General features: G+C 43.7%; 1 protein-coding gene and 1 pseudogene across 28 annotated transcripts in view, besides 2 other annotated features; one reads left to right on the top strand and one right to left on the bottom strand.

Moving 5' to 3' along the window:
• OCA2 (OCA2 melanosomal transmembrane protein) overlaps positions 1-16,090 on the top strand; it is a 380,308-nt gene that overhangs the window by 192,926 nt on the left and 171,292 nt on the right. The gene's annotated exons all lie outside the window — the stretch shown is intronic.
• Positions 1,752-2,252: an enhancer, noted in NCBI's record as "H3K27ac hESC enhancer chr15:28149284-28149784 (GRCh37/hg19 assembly coordinates)". NCBI's record gives its function as "activates a minimal SCP1, AML or CMV promoter by ChIP-STARR-seq in primed H9 embryonic stem cells {active_cell/tissue: H9 hESC(primed)}" and the evidence as "EXISTENCE:reporter gene assay evidence [ECO:0000049][PMID:30033119]".
• Positions 8,569-9,069: an enhancer, noted in NCBI's record as "H3K4me1 hESC enhancer chr15:28142467-28142967 (GRCh37/hg19 assembly coordinates)". NCBI's record gives its function as "activates a minimal SCP1, AML or CMV promoter by ChIP-STARR-seq in naive H9 embryonic stem cells {active_cell/tissue: H9 hESC(naive)}" and the evidence as "EXISTENCE:reporter gene assay evidence [ECO:0000049][PMID:30033119]".
• On the bottom strand, positions 9,750-10,730 carry RPL5P32 (ribosomal protein L5 pseudogene 32; annotated as a pseudogene).

The following is a 16,090-nucleotide window of genomic DNA, read 5'->3' as shown; positions in this document are numbered from 1 at the left end:
TTCATTTTTGTCTATTGTCTTTTGGGCATCTTTTAATTTATTTCTCATTTCTTTTGTAAAGTGATTTCTCTGAGTACATAATAGTTGTTGCATATTTATGGGGGACATGTGATATTTTGATACAATAATACAATATGTAATGATGAAATCAGGGTAATTAGGATATCCATAACCTCAAACATTTATTGTTACTTGTTTTGGGAACATTCCAAGTCCTTTCTTCCAGTTATTTTAAAATATACAATAAGTTATTGTTAATTATAGTGGCCCTATCATGCTATCAAACACTAGAACTTATTACTTCTAACTAACCCTATTTTTTGTACCCATTAAACAACCCCTTATTTCTGAGAAAACTTGGTTACCTCATCCTTGAGTTCAATCAACTTTTTATTTCTCCCTGTTATTTGCCCATTTCTGTTTTCAAATCTCTGATTTAAGGTGGGTTTGTATTTTTGATGCTTGCTTGAGGCGTGGGCATGGCGAATTCATTTTGAAGTGTGGGCTTGTAGTTTTCTTCTACATGCTTCATGGTTATTTTCAGAGGGGATTTTCCTCAGCTGATACATGTGACATTTCCGCTCCTGATAGCGTTTGCACTAGCTCTGTAGGTGTGACTTCATTTTTCTCTTGTTCATTTAATGCCGTTGGGCTTGTTTGTGTTTTGTAGGATTCCTGGCGCTCTTCTGCGGGCAGAGCACAGTCCTCCGACTCCTGCCTTGCGGAACCCCGCTTTTACCTCCTTTTCTTTTCCACTTGACCACTTGGTTGCCCAAAGGAGCTTTCCCTTCCTCTTTGCTCTTTCCTCCCCAAGGCTGCATGCCCCCAGATGGGCCCTTTCTGTGCTCCTGCTCCTCTCACAGCACCTCCCAGGGCCCAGTTCCCCCTGGCCCGTTCTGGTGGACCTTCTGATCACCTCAGCACCCCCTCTGTCTTCCCTCAGGGCTTTCTGTCCATTTGCTGTAAAGCTTTGTTGCTGGGACAGCAGTGAGAGAGAGAGCAGGCTGGGGGTTTGGTGGTATTTTCACTTTTCTCTTTTCAGTTCAGATATTTTACACTTTTGGGGTTCTCTACCTTCACATTATGTGGAAGGCATGGCTTTGTGTAGATTTTACTTTCTTTTCTTTCTTTTTCTGTCTTTTGGGAGGAAATTTTGGGATAGAAGCAGTTATACCACTGCCATTGTCCTCAGCTGTCCACATTGCCAATTTTTTTTTTTTTTTTTTGAGGTGGAGTCTCATTCTGTTGCCCAGGCTGGAGTGCAGTGGCGCGATCTTGGCTCATTGCAACCTCTGCCTCCTGGGTTCAAGCAATTCTCCTGCCTCAGCCTCCCGAGTAGTTGGGATTACAGGCACCCACCACCACGCCCGGCTAATTTTTGTATTTTTAGTAGAGACGAGGTTTTGCCATGTTGGCCAGTCTGGTCTCGAACTCCTGACCTCAGGTGATCCGCCTGCCTTGGCCTCCCAAAGTGCTGGGATTACAGGCATGAACCACCATGCCCAGCCCCGTGTTGCCGATTTCTAAAAGGGAACCACTGTATGTTAATCAACAAACTGTGCTGTGGTGGCCACAGGCCAGGTCCATGGAGATTTCAGAGGCCTACCCAGGCAAGCTTGAGGAGGTGGGGGGTGCTGGGAATATGAGGAGTTGTTGCCTAGGGTTCCTGGCCTTGTCCTTGTACTTTGCAACTTGGTGTTCCCCAGTTTGTGCTGGAGTATCCCCAGGAGTTGGGGAGGATAGACTGTTGGCAGTAGAAGGAACTTTATACACTTAACCAAGCCCCATGATCAGTGAGGGGCTGAGCTGCTGCTCCATGTGTCAGCTCGTGTCTCCAGCCCAGCCACTGAGCTGGCCCAGGTAGGACTGAGCTCCCTCTTCTTCTCTGGGGCTGCCATTCTCAGCCACCCCCGCACCTCCCTAGTAGAGTTCCCTGAAATTGCCCTGTGTCTGGGCCAAGGATACACCCCGCACTGTAGTGTGCAGTTCTTCCGTCCTCCAAAGCTCATCTGCGCATCTCTTCTGGTTCTCTTAGGCCCCAGCATGGTCGGGAGTCTTTCTCTGTCCCCCAGCGCTCCCAGCCAACAGCACTGCTCACTTCTGCCCCGTCCACCTGAATCTGCTGCAGTGGGCCCTGCTCTGGTCCTCCTGGGGCTGGGTCGGGTGGATTTTGGAGCGAGCGAGGGAGCTGAACAATGCACTGTGGGCTGGCTTCCCTTGTTGCTGCTCCGGCAGGACGGTATCTCCACAAAGGTTCAGAGGCGAAAGGAAATGAGAACGGGAGCTATGACTTGGATTCACAGGGAAGCTGAATAAAGGGAAAGGAGAGAGTTTAAACTTATCTGCAGGCATCATGTTAAATGTAATGTTTTCTTGACAAATAGCCAGCACACTGCACTATTTTTAAAAATCCCCTCATTAAAAGCTAAGACCAATTTCTTACATATGGAAGAGTTTCTATGCTACAGGTTATTCTAATGAGAAAAGAAGAAAAGTGACTTACAATACTATACAATACCATCACATGAAATATTCATGTAAAAATTCTTTTAGAACAAGAAGACACATTCTTATAGGTAAGAAATGCTATGCAGATATTAAAAATTAATTCCTGAGCACAAGAGTGAGCCAGGGTAATGCGAGTGCAGTTTGTCCAGAGTTTAAAAACCAGGACCTGGGGTTCCCAGGCCTTGAAGCCATCACTAAGGACCTAAGCCTCGCTCTCCACTCCCGCTAGGCCGCAGGGACCCGCTCCTGGGGGATGGAGGGCAGGAAGCAGGGGGCGAGGGGAGTTCCAAGCTCCTGGGGGAAGCCCGGGACTTTCCAGGGTTTTCTTCTCAGTAATAGAAAGTGCCTCCGGGGCAACAGAGCAAGACTCCATCTCAACAAAACAACAACAAAAACAAAACAAAAAGAAAGTGCCTCCTAGAGAGTAGGTGGGAGTTGGAAGTTCCTTCAGTCTTCATTTCCATCTCCCAAGCGACACTTTCTGAGGCAGGGTCCCCTGCACAGGCGTCCTGGAGCGGGAGGGGTGGCTGGCGGTGCCAGGAGAGGAGGGCAGCTGTGGGCCCGCGGAAGCACCGCCGTGGCGGGCTTGGGGTTTCGGAGCACAAGATAACAGCTGTGTGAGAAACACACACAGCTGGGTGAGGACAGACCGTCGGGACTTACGCGAAAGCCTGCTTTGAGGGTTCACGGCGCCGGCGACACAAAGGTGGAGTTTACTGCAGCCTGTCTCCAGCCTCACAGCAGCCCAGGGGAGAGGGGGCGCAGGAGCGCTGGGACCCCCGCAGATCTCGGGGCTTCTCTCAGGGTCACAGAGGGCTCCTCTCCTTCCCCTTGGCCTCCTTCCTTGCGGGGTGACTGCCCCTCGTGGCCTCCCTGACCCGGGTGCCCTGTGGGTGCTCCCGAGGGGATCGAGGTCGGGGTGGAGGATGTGAGCTCTGCAGGCCGCCCAGCCAGCGCCCACGTGCTCAGGTGTCAGCTAGGGACGCGCGTGTGCGTCAGCGTGATTTGGAGGAACGCACTGTGCCTGGAACACTCTGACTCTGTCCCTCTGCGCCTGCCCGCCTCCCCAAAGGCCAGGTCGGCTGCACGTAGTGTTTCCGCGTATGGTGCATCTCCCTGTGGCCATCCCGCCCCCAGCCTGCAGAGGAAGAGTTCCCAAAGCCTTTCCTAAATCTCCAAAGTCCCTCTGTTTCCCTGGTGGCACTTCACACTAGCTCTTTGTGTGAGGTGGGACTCGCCAGAGATGGACAGTCACTGCCAGGAGAGGCCCCTGCGTGTCCTGGGAACCTGGGATTCAGTGCGTGCTCAGAGACGTTTTAGGAGTGCAAGATTTACCATAGGCTTGGCGATGTCTTTTGTTTATTTTTAAGTTAACTGAAACAACCCAGGAACTGGATTTCTTCAAATTTACCAATTTATACTTTAATTTGGGAAAAGGAAAAGCACTCAAAAATAAATTTAATTAGTCAATCTATAATTATGATACGAATAAGTTCCACTTAAATATAATATTCCAAGCATAATAATTTGTTGAGTAAATCAAATCGTTGATACATCTTAGTGTTCCCAAAGTTAGGAAATCATCTAAGCTTCATAAAAAGAAAGCATTTCACGTATTTAAATTTTCCCCAGAAGTCCTTCTTTGCTAAAAATAGAAAAAAACAACAACAACAACAACTTTTTTTTCATGACTTCAAAATTTGCAGATATTCTGTGCCTGGAAGGAATCAGTGGGGTTTCTCATGCTTTCCACACCGTAGTTCAGGACTGCAGCCTGGAAACTGCATGATGATGGAATTTCCATCAGAGGGAATATTAGACATTATTTAATCAAATCCTTTCATTTTATGAATACATTTCAGAGGTCAGATGAGTTGAGTGCTCTCCCCCTCCGCCCCCTGCCAGGACCCTTCTGGTCACAGTGGCTCTGGGTGGGCAACCCTGTTCTCTCAGAAACCCCTGGCTCCTTGGGCACAACTCGCTGAAGTCTTGTGTCCCCAGCCTCACATGGCTGCCCTGGATACTCCAGGTGAGCAGGGCCCTATTGGGTTGAACAGTTGTGACCTGCTACGTCTGGGGACTTAGGTCTGGGGACTTACATGTGCATGTATTTCTGTATCATCATTTAAAAATCTGTGCAATGTTACATTGTAAGTGGATAGGCTATCATCAGCTTTTCCCCTTTTGTTGACATTTAGGTTATTGTCTATCTTTTTCCTCTTGAAACAGTCATGTAAGGAACATCTTTGAGCATTGGGTGGTGACTATTTTCCACCCTCCTTGCGAGGTAGGGTCTTTCTCAGGAAAGAAAGAGATTATGTGCTCAAAGGTCAGGTTTGGGGAAAGAATGGGTGTGCTGAACTCCTGAAGAAAAGAGGCCACGACCTCATGGGCCTGAGGGGCAAAGGGGAGATGGGAGCTCTAGTGGCCTGTGATCACCTGTGGCCTGGCCAGAGGAGCCAGGAGATTCAGTGACCTTGTTCCTCCCACCCATCAAGTCCTGCCAGTGTCTCCCATTGGCCAGACTTACCTGGATTCCAGAAGATGGGAGAGCTGCCAGCAGCAGGGCTGGGGAGAAGGCTGGGGAGAAGACCAGGGGCAGGACTAAAGGGCAATGAGGGATAGCCCCAGACAGTCCTCCACTTGTGCCTGTTAGGATTTTAAAAACATCGTTTGTCCAGTCCAAGAGAAAATCACTTGTCCTCAAAACAAGAGCTGTACAATATCCCATCAGCTACTGTGTGATATGGGGTGATGTTGGTTCAGTAACACCTGAAACTTAAAATGTTAGCTATCCCAATGCTCTTCCTATTATGACAATGGAGAATAAGTGGGGGAAGAGAAGCAACAAAATACCATAAAACAGAGCTGCTATAGCCCCGGCTTCCAGAGCTGATTCTGAAGTCTGAATTGTTAGTTAACTCACTTCTTTAATGCCACGTTCCCCTGACCTCTGCCACCACTTCAGATACGTGGTTTTTATCCACTGTTGAGGTGACCCAAACCATCATTCTCATAGGACCTGAGACCTTGGTGTTGTGTCTGTACTCGAGTGCCAAGGTGTGCATGAACTGGGACTACTGGAATGTAAGGAGGCACACCTGTGAATGCCCAGCTCCCGGCCAGTTCTTGCCAGCATGAGGAAGCAGCAACCTAGTTCCCTCTGAGAATTGAAAGCAGTTATCTTGGACAGTAGAGGGACTCTCCTTGTCTGCTTGATGGTCACAAGACATGTGGAGCTTCACATGGCCAGGGAGGATTCTCAGCTTCCAATGAAATGCTGACACCTGTTGTGATACCTTGGTTCTTGTCTTCTTGGTTTAAGAGAATTTAAACAAGAGACACATAGCAAAAGAAGTGCAGCATAGAGTATTGCAAAAGAAAAAGAATACTTTGAAAGTTAGGTGCAGAATAGGCAGTACACCCTGAGAGAGAGAGAAATTCAGGACGGGCCGCTCATAAGGATGAGACAACAAAGACCAGCACTAGGGAGGCTCCCAGTATGGGAGTCTTACATGATTATTTATAAGGAGGTGGGAGAGGTGTTGCTAGTAAGAATGTTCTGGGTGTTCCTCTGGGTGCATGTGCGCAGTAGCTGTACATGCTTGTTCATATATCATATGTCTCATTAGCATCTTAAATCTCCACCCAGGGGTATGTTTTTTGCTATTATAATGAGGGCAGGTAAAGTCAAATTGCACATGCTCTCTAGAGGGGAAAGTCCCTACTGAAGATAGCTTTGCTTGAATAGCTCAATTACAATGCAAATGCTGAGGCTTATTTTGTTGACTGCACGGTCACCATGGTTGCCGCATCCTGAGAACATAGTCACTGCCTTGACTGCCTATCCCACCTCAGGTAATAAAGGTAATGGTACCTTTATTAGTTGTGTTTCCTTGGATATTAGGACCCGCAAATCCACTGAGCTCAAGATAATTAAGACAGGGGGCAAAAATTGCTGAAGTGGGTCACTGGGTATAGTAATAAGGGAGGGAGTGCTCCTATCTCACTCCTTTGTTTCCCACACCAGTGCTTCCCAGTGGGCTGTGACAGAGATAGTGACATTCATTGGTAATTTGTTTAAGCACATACTGCATGCTGTAGGGTGGCACCCCAACTTTGCTGACTTTTGGATTGCAGCAAATAGTACCTCTGAAGCTTTAGCAGGCCACTGTTCTATCAAGTCAGCTGCTTCTGGGTAATGGAGCACATGGTACGACCAGTGAGTTCTGGTGTGATGCACTGCCTTCGCTGTAGAATAACCTCCTTGTCAAAGGAACTGAGTGAGAAACCAAGGACTGGAAAAGGAATTCTGTACATCAGTGAATGATGGGGCTGGTTGAAGCTTTACAAGAAAGAAAAGGAAATCCTTATTTGTAAAATGTTTCTAACATTTCTAACCTAATCATAGGATTTCTAACCTAATCATAAATTTCTAAAATAATCATAAGAGCCCTTGTGATTGGATTGCGCCCACCTCTATTGGTTAGAATAATTTCCCCTTCTCCGGGTCCTCAACTTAATCACATCAGCAAAGTCCCTATTATCATGTGTGTTCATCTCCTATTGCTGCACAAATTAACAGAAATTGAGTGGCTTAACCCGAATTTATTCTTTTACATTTTTGGAGGTCAGAAATCTAAACTCAGTCTATTAGAGAGGGCTGTGCTACTTCTGGAAGCTTCAGAAGAAAATAATATGGTTTTTCTTCTTTAGCCTTTTGATATGGTTAGATTACATTGATTAATTTTCAAATATTGAGCCAACCATGCATACCTGAAATAAATCCCCTGTGGTCATGGTGTATAATTATTTTCACGTATTCATGGATTCAGTTTGCTAACATTTTGTTGGGGATTTTTAACTTTATGAGATATATTGATCTATAGTTTCCTTTATGCTAGCTTTGTCTGATTTTGGCTTCACAAAATGAGTTGGAAAGTGTTCCTTCCTGTTTTATCTTCTGGAAAAGATTATATAGAATTGATGCTAGTTCTTTACATGTTCAGTAGAATTTTTATTTTGTTGTTTAAGATTTGCTAGGATAATTTTATTAAGAGATTAATATGTATTTTTAGCAAGGTAAAAAATACAAATAATAATAACAACCCTTCTGTTCATAAATATCCCTTCAGGTGAAAACACTGGAAGTCACAACAATGTAAAGAATGGGGCCCAAATAAAGCCCAAGTATTTTTTGCACACTTTTATTTATTTTACCTACCATATGATCCATAATTCAACCTTTTATTCAGTTACTGGCTTTATTAGTCTGTTCTCACGCTGCTGATAAAGACATACCTGAGACAGGGAAGAAAGAGATTTAATGGACTTACAGTTCTTTGTGTCTGGGGAGGCCTCACAATCATGGCAAAAGACGAGGAGAAGCAAGTCACATTTTACATGGATAGCAGCAGGCAAAGAGAGAGCTTGTGCAGGAAAACTCCTGTTTTTACAACCATCAGATATTCTGAAATTCATTCACTATCACGAGAACAGTGCAGGAGAGTCCCATCCCCATAATTTAATCACCTCCCACTGTGTTCCTCCCATGACTTGTGGGAATTGTGGGAGTTACAATTCAAGATGAGATTTGGGTGGGGACACAGCCAAACCATATCATTTCACCCTGGCCCCTCCCAAATCTAATGTCTTTACATTGCAAAACCAATCATGCCTTCAACAGTTCCCCAAAGTCTTAACTAATTTCAGCATTAACTCGAAAGTACACAGTCCAATGTCTCATCTGAGACAAGGCAAGTCCCTTCCGCCTATGAGCCTGCAAAATCAAAAGCAAGTTAGTTACTTCCTAGATATAATGGGGGTACAAGCATTTGGTAAATACAGCCATTCCAAATGGGAGAAATGGGCCAAAACCAAGGGGCTACAGGCCCCATGCAAGTCCAAAATCCAGCAGGATTTCTTAAAGCTCCAAAATGACCTCCTTTGACACCATGTCCCACATCCGGGTCATGCTGATGCAAGAGGTGGGTTCCCATGGTCTTGGGCAGCTCGGTCCCTGTGGCTCTGCAGGGTACAGCCTCCGTCCCCGCTGCCTTCACGGGCTGGTTGAGTGTTGAGTGTCTGCGGATTTTCCAGGCGCACGGTGCAAGCTGTCAGTGGATCTACCATTCTGGGATCTGGGAGCTTCTCACAGCTCCACTAGGTGGTGCCCCAGTAGGGACTCCTCAGTGTGGCACCTCTGACCCCACATTTTTCTGCTGCACTGTCCTAGCAGAGGTTCTTCATGAAGGCCCCGCCCCTGCAGCAAACTTCTCCTGGACATCCAGGTGTTCCCATACATTCTTTGAAATCTAGGTGGAGGGTTCCAAACCTCAATTCTTGACTTCCATGCACCTGCAGGCTCAACAGCACGTGAAAGCTGCCAAGGCTTGGGGCTTCCACTGTCTGAAGCAACAGCCCGAGCTCTGCCTTGGCTCCTTTTAGCCATGGCTGGACTGGTTGGAATGCAGGGCACCAAGTCCCTGGGCTGCACAGAGCAGGGAGGTGCTGGGCCCGACCCAGGAAACTATATAACCATGACTGGACTGGCTGGAATGCAGGGCACCAAGTCCCTGGGCTACACAGGGCAGGGAGGCACTGGGCCCGACCCAGGAAACTATATTTTTCTTTTAGGCCTCTGGGCCTGTGATGGGATGGGCTGCCAAGAAGATTTCTTTTTTTTTTTTTTTGAGACGGAGTCTTGCTCTGTCGCCCAGGCTAGGGTGTAGTGGCACCGTCTCGTCTCACTGCAAGCTCCCCCTCCCAGGTTCACTGCATTCTCCTGTCTCAGCCTCCCGAGTAGCTAGGACTACAGGCACCCACCACCACACCCGGCTAATTTTTTGTATTTTTAGTAGAGACAGGGTTTCACTGTGTTAGCCAGGATGATCTGGATCTCCTGACCTCGTAATCCGCCCACCTCGGCCCCCCAGAGTGCTGGGATTATAGGCGTGAGCCACTGCGCCTGGCCTGCCAAGAAGATTTCTGACATGCCCTGGAGACATTTTCCCCATTGTCTTGGGAATTAACATTCGGCTTCTCATTACTTATGCAAATTTCTGCAGCTGGCTTAAATTTCTCCTCAAAAAATGAGATTTTCTATTCTATTGCATTGTCAGGCTGCAAATTTTCCAAACTTTTATGCTCTGTTTTCTTTTTAAAGCTGAATACCTTTAACAGAACCCAAGTCACCTCTTGAATGCTTTGCTGCTTATAAAGTTCATTTTTTTTTTTTTTTTTTGCTGTCAATAAGTTTATGATCTTCATCTGAAAAATCCTCATGGAAAATTGTTTGGTTTAGCTCTCAGAAGCCCACTTCTGAGCTCTGAGGAAGCTTGCATTCTTTTGAGCTACTCAATCTTTCTTTTGAGCAAGGGACATTTTGGGACAGTTCCACTTCTTTTTAACTTTTTTCTTGGGCTTCTTCTCCTAGATGGGATTCTCTCATATAGCAGCATGAGCTTTCTTTTACATCTCCTCCATCATGTCTGGAGTTACACTGTTCTTCCTGTATTGAACGAACTGTTTCTGGTAAGCATCTTCATCTTCCTCCATTAAGTAGCACATGTAATCTGCAACATTCTGGCCCATGATGTGCTTCCGGTGTACTTCTGCATTAAATTCCTTGCTTTCAGAACCATAACCAGGGAATCATTTGGTACTGTGAGGGATAGACAAGCCTCTATCTACAGCTCTCTTCAGGGCACCAAAAACTTCATTGCCACTGGTAGTTCTGGCAAGGCCTGCATCCATATAGCAGGTAAAGGCACTTGGCTGACCATCAATGCTTTCCACATTGTATTCCTTGCCAGTCACCTCCACTTGGCCTTCATAGATCTTTTCCATGCCAAACCTATTGAGAAGCCTGCAGGCCAGTACAATACACCGCAGCGTAATTGGTCAGGCCAACCTTCAAACCATATTTTCGTAGTTCACATGCATATGCTGTGCGTACTATCATATCCCCTTCTGTACGGGCATAAGCAACCTGATAAATAATATCTCTGTGTGTTACACAAACTATCATCCTGTATTTGGGTGTGTTGTATTTATTTTTGTCCTGTATCACCAAGCATTTCCAAGCATAATACTCAGTTTCACCCTCTTGCCGTCTTCTAAATTTCGCTTGATATCTCTTAAAGTAGGCTTTATTCTTAACAACTTTACAAACCCCATCCTGCGGAACAGAGATCCCCATCCATGGATCAACAGAGACCTGCCCTGCTTAGAAATTTCTTCCTCCAGATACCCTAAGTCATCTCTCTCAAGTTCAAAGTTCCACAAATCTCTAGGGAAGGGGCAAAATGCCACCAGTCTCTTTGCTAAAACATAAGAAGAGTCACCTTTGCTCCAGTTCCCAGCAAGTTCCTCAGGTCCGTCTGGGACCACCTCAGCCTGGACTTTATTGTCCATATCGCTATCAGCATTTTGGTCAAAGCCATTCAACAAGTCTGTAGGAAGTCCCACACTTCCCCACATTCTTCTGTATTCTGAGCCCTCCAAACTGTTCCAACCTCTGCCTGTCACCCGGTTCCAAAGTTGCTTCCACATTTTCGGCTATCTTTTCAGCAATGCCCCATTCTGCTGGTACCAATTTACTGTATTAGTCTGTTCTCACACTGCTAATAAAGACACACCAGAGACTAGGTTCTGGGCCCAGTGATATGTCACAATCACCCTTTGTGGCAGGTTTCAGTCAAAAAAGGAGAGTCACAACAGCTGGGTGATGGATACACAGACAGGTCCTTATGCTTCCTATAGGCAGGACCCAGGAAGGAGAGTTACATTGCCTACAGAAGACCCAGGAATTTATTCCTTTCTCTAAGTCTAGCTACAAATGCCAGCATCTCTTCTGTTGGCTGGTTTGTGGTATGAGTGTCATCATCACAACTCTGAGCTGGGCTAAAGTATATGTCACAATCCAACCTTAAATATGCAAGGTCCAGGCAAAAGGTGAGAGTTACATCATCTAGGTGCTGAGTGCAGTGATGCATCACAATCCTTTTGTGGTAGGGTGCAGGCTGAAGAAGAGTCACATGACTTTTGGGTTGGGACCAGGCAGAAAAGTCAAGTCATTCAGGTTCCAGACAGAGGTGTACGTCACAATCACACATCATTTGGATGAAAGGCCCAGCCATATGTCACAATGCCACCTGTGGGCAGCACCAAGGCTGGAAAAGAGAGTCACATCTTCAAGGTGCAGAGTCAATATGTCACAATCTCATCTGTGGGCTGGGCTGAAGCAGGAGAGTCAAATCACTAAGATGCTTAGCAGATATATACAATCACACCTGGCTGTATGGCTACTGTCTCCTCACTCTTTTCTTTCCTTCGAAAAGGTCACCAGGTTTAGCTTAGAGACATCAAGACCCAGAGATCAGGTTTCTGTCCTTCTTTTAAAGCACATCTCTATACGAATTCTGCTAAGCAGGTTCCAGTATTTCCACTCGTCCAGAGAGAATTCTATGGCCACATTCCTGAATGTAAACAGTTTCATTTCCCAGCTTTCAGGATGTCCTGGCATCTTAGCTATGCGTCTCCCAGTACCTGCAGATCACAGGGCAACAGAGGCTGTGACAAAGTCACTGGGGGCTCCAGAGGTGGTGGACATGGAACAGTAGAGATAAATCCCAAGCTCTGGTGGGAGTGGGAGACAAAGGCCTGGTAGAATTTTCTAGTGAAACAGTATTGGGGAACCTGCCCCCAATATTTCAACGTAGGTTCTTTCTATTATCCATAAGTGTCAGCCAGCTGAGAAATAGAGACAGTACAAAGAGAGGAATTTTACAGGTGGGCTGCTGGGGGTGACATCACATATTGGTAGGACTGTGATGCCTGCCTGAGTCTCAGACCAGCAAGCTTTTATTAAGGGTTTCAAAAGGGGAGGGGGTGTAAGAACAGAGAGTAAGTACAAAGATCACATGCATCAAAGAGCAAAAAGCAGAACCACTAATAAGGGTCTAACAAAGATCACATGCTTCTGAGGGAACAGAACAAAGGGCAAAAGCAGAACCACTGATAAGGGTCCAACAAAGATCATAAAGCAAAGGGCAAAAGCAGAACCACTGATAAGGGTCTATGTTCAGCGGTGCACGTATTGTCTTGATAAACATCTTAAACAACAGAAAACAGGGTTCGAGAGCAGAGAACTGGTCTGACTACAAATTTACCAGGGTGGAGTTTTTCCCCACCCTAGTAAGTCCGAGGGTTCTGCAAGAGACCAGGGCATATCTCAGTCCTTATCTCAACTGCATAATACAGACATTCCCAGAGTGGCCGTTTATAGACCTCCCCCCAGGAATGCATTCCTTTCCCAGGGTATTAATATTAATATTCCTTGCTAGGAAAAGAATTTAGTGATATATTTCCTACTTGCACGTCCATTTATTGGCTCTCTGCAAGAAGAAAAATATGGCTCTTTTTGCCTGACCCCACAGGCAGTCAGACCTTAAGGTTGTCTTCCCTTGTTCCATAAAAATCGCTGTTATTCTGTACTTTTTCAGGGTGCCCTGATTTCATATTGTTCAAACACACGTGTTTTACAATCAATTTGTACAGTTAACACAATTATCACAGTGGTCCTGAGGTGACGTACATCCTCAGCTTATGAAGATAACAGGATTAAGAGATTAAAGTAAAGACAGGCATAAGAAATTATAAAAGTATTATTCAGGAACTGATAAATGTCCATATTAATATGAAATCTTCACAATTTATGTTCCTCTGCCACGGCTCCAGCCGGTCCCTCCATTTGGGGTCCCTGACTTCCTGCAATAAAACCAGGAGTCTGGAATCTTTTTTTAAAAGGAAACTTTCAAATTAATAATTCAACGTCTTTCATGGCTAAAGGGCTATTCAGATTATAGATTTTATCTGTGTTTTCATACTTTGTGTTTTTTGAGGAATTGGTTTGTTTCTTTTTAGTTGCCAAATTTGTGAGCGTAAAGTTGTTGATAATATTCCTTTATTATCATTTTAATGTCTGAAATATATGTAGTAAAATTTCCTATTTCATTCCTGATATTGGTGATTTGTGTCTCTCTCCTTTAATTTTTGGTCAGTCTTTTTAGAAGTTTGTCAATTTAACTGATTTTACCCAAAGAAACAGCCTTTTCTCCTTTGATTTTCATTAGTATTGTCCTATATTAACTCAATAGATTTCTTCTGTGATCTTTATTGTTTCTTTCCTTAAGCTTTCTTTTGATGCATTTTACTCTTTTTTGGCAAGTGTTTTTGAGGTAGGAACTTAGATTGTTGATATGAGATTTCCTTTCTTTTCCAATGTTAACATTTAGTGTTATAAAGTTTTGTCACAGTTATATTTCGGTTGCACCCTATATGTTTCTATGTGTTGCATTTTCATTAAAATTCAGTTCTATATATTTTAAAATTTACTTTGAGACCTCTTCATTGACCCATAGACTATTTAGAAGTATGTTGGTTAATTTCCATGCATTTAGAGATTTTTCTATTGTCTTTCTGTTAGTTTCTAACTTTATTCCATTATAGTTGAAGAACATACTCTGTATGAGTTTATTTTTTTACATTTGCGGAATTTTTTTTGTGACCCAGAATATGATACATCTTGGTAAATCTTTCATGGGAACTTGAAAAAAACTGTATTCTCCTGTTTTGGAGTGAAGTGTTTTATATATGTGTATTAAATCCCTTTGGTTCAGTGTTGTTCAGTTCTTCCATATTTTGAATTATTTTCTGTGTAGCATTTCTATTAGTTTCTGAGGGTGAGTTATTTATGTTCCCAATTATAAACATGAATTTGTTTTTTCTTTCAGCTCTAGCAGTTTTTCACTTCATGTATTTTGCTGCTCTGTTGTTTGGTGCATACATATTTAGGATTGTTGTATCTTCCTGGTGGATTGACCTATTTATCATTATTTAATAATTTTCTGTCCCTCTAGTAATTTTCTTTATTTTGAAGTCTACTTAGCTGGTATTAATATAGTCTCTTGCTTAGATTTTTTTTGTGTGTAACATATCTTTTTCCAGCATATAGTTGGGTTATTTTTTCAATCCTTTCTTCCGGTCTCTGTGTTTTGGTTGATATGTTTAGAAAATTTACATTTAAGGTAATTATTGATATGTTAATGCTTAAATATGCCATTTCAATTAAAGTTGCTCTTTCATATCCATAGCTTTTGCATCCATGGGTTCAACCAACTACAGGTAAAAAAAATTCCCATAAACTTCCAAAAAGCAAAACTTGAATTTTCTGTGCACTGACTACTATGTTGAATCCATGCAAGTGATGAGATGCATAGGCATTGTATTAGGTACTATAAGTAATCTAGGGATCATTTAAAGTATACAGAAGAATGTGCTTAGTTTATATGCAAATACTATGCCCCTTTAAATAAGGGACCTGAACATCTATGGAGTTTGGTATCCACAGAGGTCCTGGAACCAATTCCCCATGGATACTGAAGGATTACTGTATTTATTTTCTCTTTATTTCCTCTGTTTCCAGTACATACCCATGTTTCTTTTGTCTTGATTTTCTGTGTGTTACTTGAACATTTTTTACAGTTCTATTTTGATTCATTTATAGTATTTTTTAGTGTTTCTCTTTGTATAGTTTTGGAGTGGTTGCTCAGAGGACTACAGTATACATACATGACTTATTAGAATTACCACTTTGAGTGAAGTGTGACAATACCACTTCCATTAAGATTCCTTTATCTTTTCTTGAGTATCAGATGGCAACATAACTTTTGTTTAAATCATCAAATCGATCTATACAACTCATAGGGAAAGGAATAATCTATTGTGTGTACACATTTCTGCTTTTTCAGTTCCTTTTGCTTCCTGATGCTCCAAAATTTGTCTTTTTTTTTTTTTGAGATGGAGTCTCACTCTGTCTCCAGGCTGGAGTGCAGTGGTGCAATCTTGGCTCACTGCCACCTCTGCCTCCCAGGTTCAAGTGATTTTCCTGCCTCAGCTTCCAAATAGCTGGGACTACAGGTGCACACCACCATGCTCAGCTAATTTTTGTATTTTTAGTAGAGACAGGGTTTCACCATGTTGGCCAGGATGGTCTTGATCTCTTGACCTCGTGATCCACCTGCCTCGGCCTCCCAAAGTGCTGGGATTACAGGTGTGGGCCACCACACCCAGCCTGTCTTATTTTTTGTAATTTTCTTTATCTTTGAAGAACTTCTTTTAGCCAATCTTTAAGGGTAGGTCTGCTAGTAAAAAATTCTTTTTCTTTATCTGAGAGTGTATTTATTTCCTCTTTATTCCTCAAGGATAGTTTCACTGGATATAGAATGTATGGTTGACAGTGCTTTTCTTCAGTACTTGAAAAATGTTGTACCATTTCCTTCCCTCTCTCCTGGTGTCAGAGAAGAAATTTGCTGCCATTTGAATTTGTGTTTTCCTGTAGGTAACGCATAGTACTTTCTGGCTGCATTCAAGGTTTTTCTTTGTCTTTAGTCTTTGAAAGTTGATGATTTATTTTGATATGGATTTCTTTGGGTTCATCGTGTTATCCTGTTCCTAGGGTTTGTTCATCTTCTTGAATTTGTAGGTTTGTGTCTTTTGCCAAATTGGGAAAATTTCAGCC

Source organism: Homo sapiens, chromosome 15 (assembly GCF_000001405.40).
Source record: "Homo sapiens chromosome 15, GRCh38.p14 Primary Assembly".
Lineage (NCBI taxonomy): Eukaryota > Metazoa > Chordata > Mammalia > Primates > Hominidae > Homo > Homo sapiens.
Note: the sequence above shows the minus strand (reverse complement) of the source record. Positions and strands in the feature narration are given on the sequence as shown.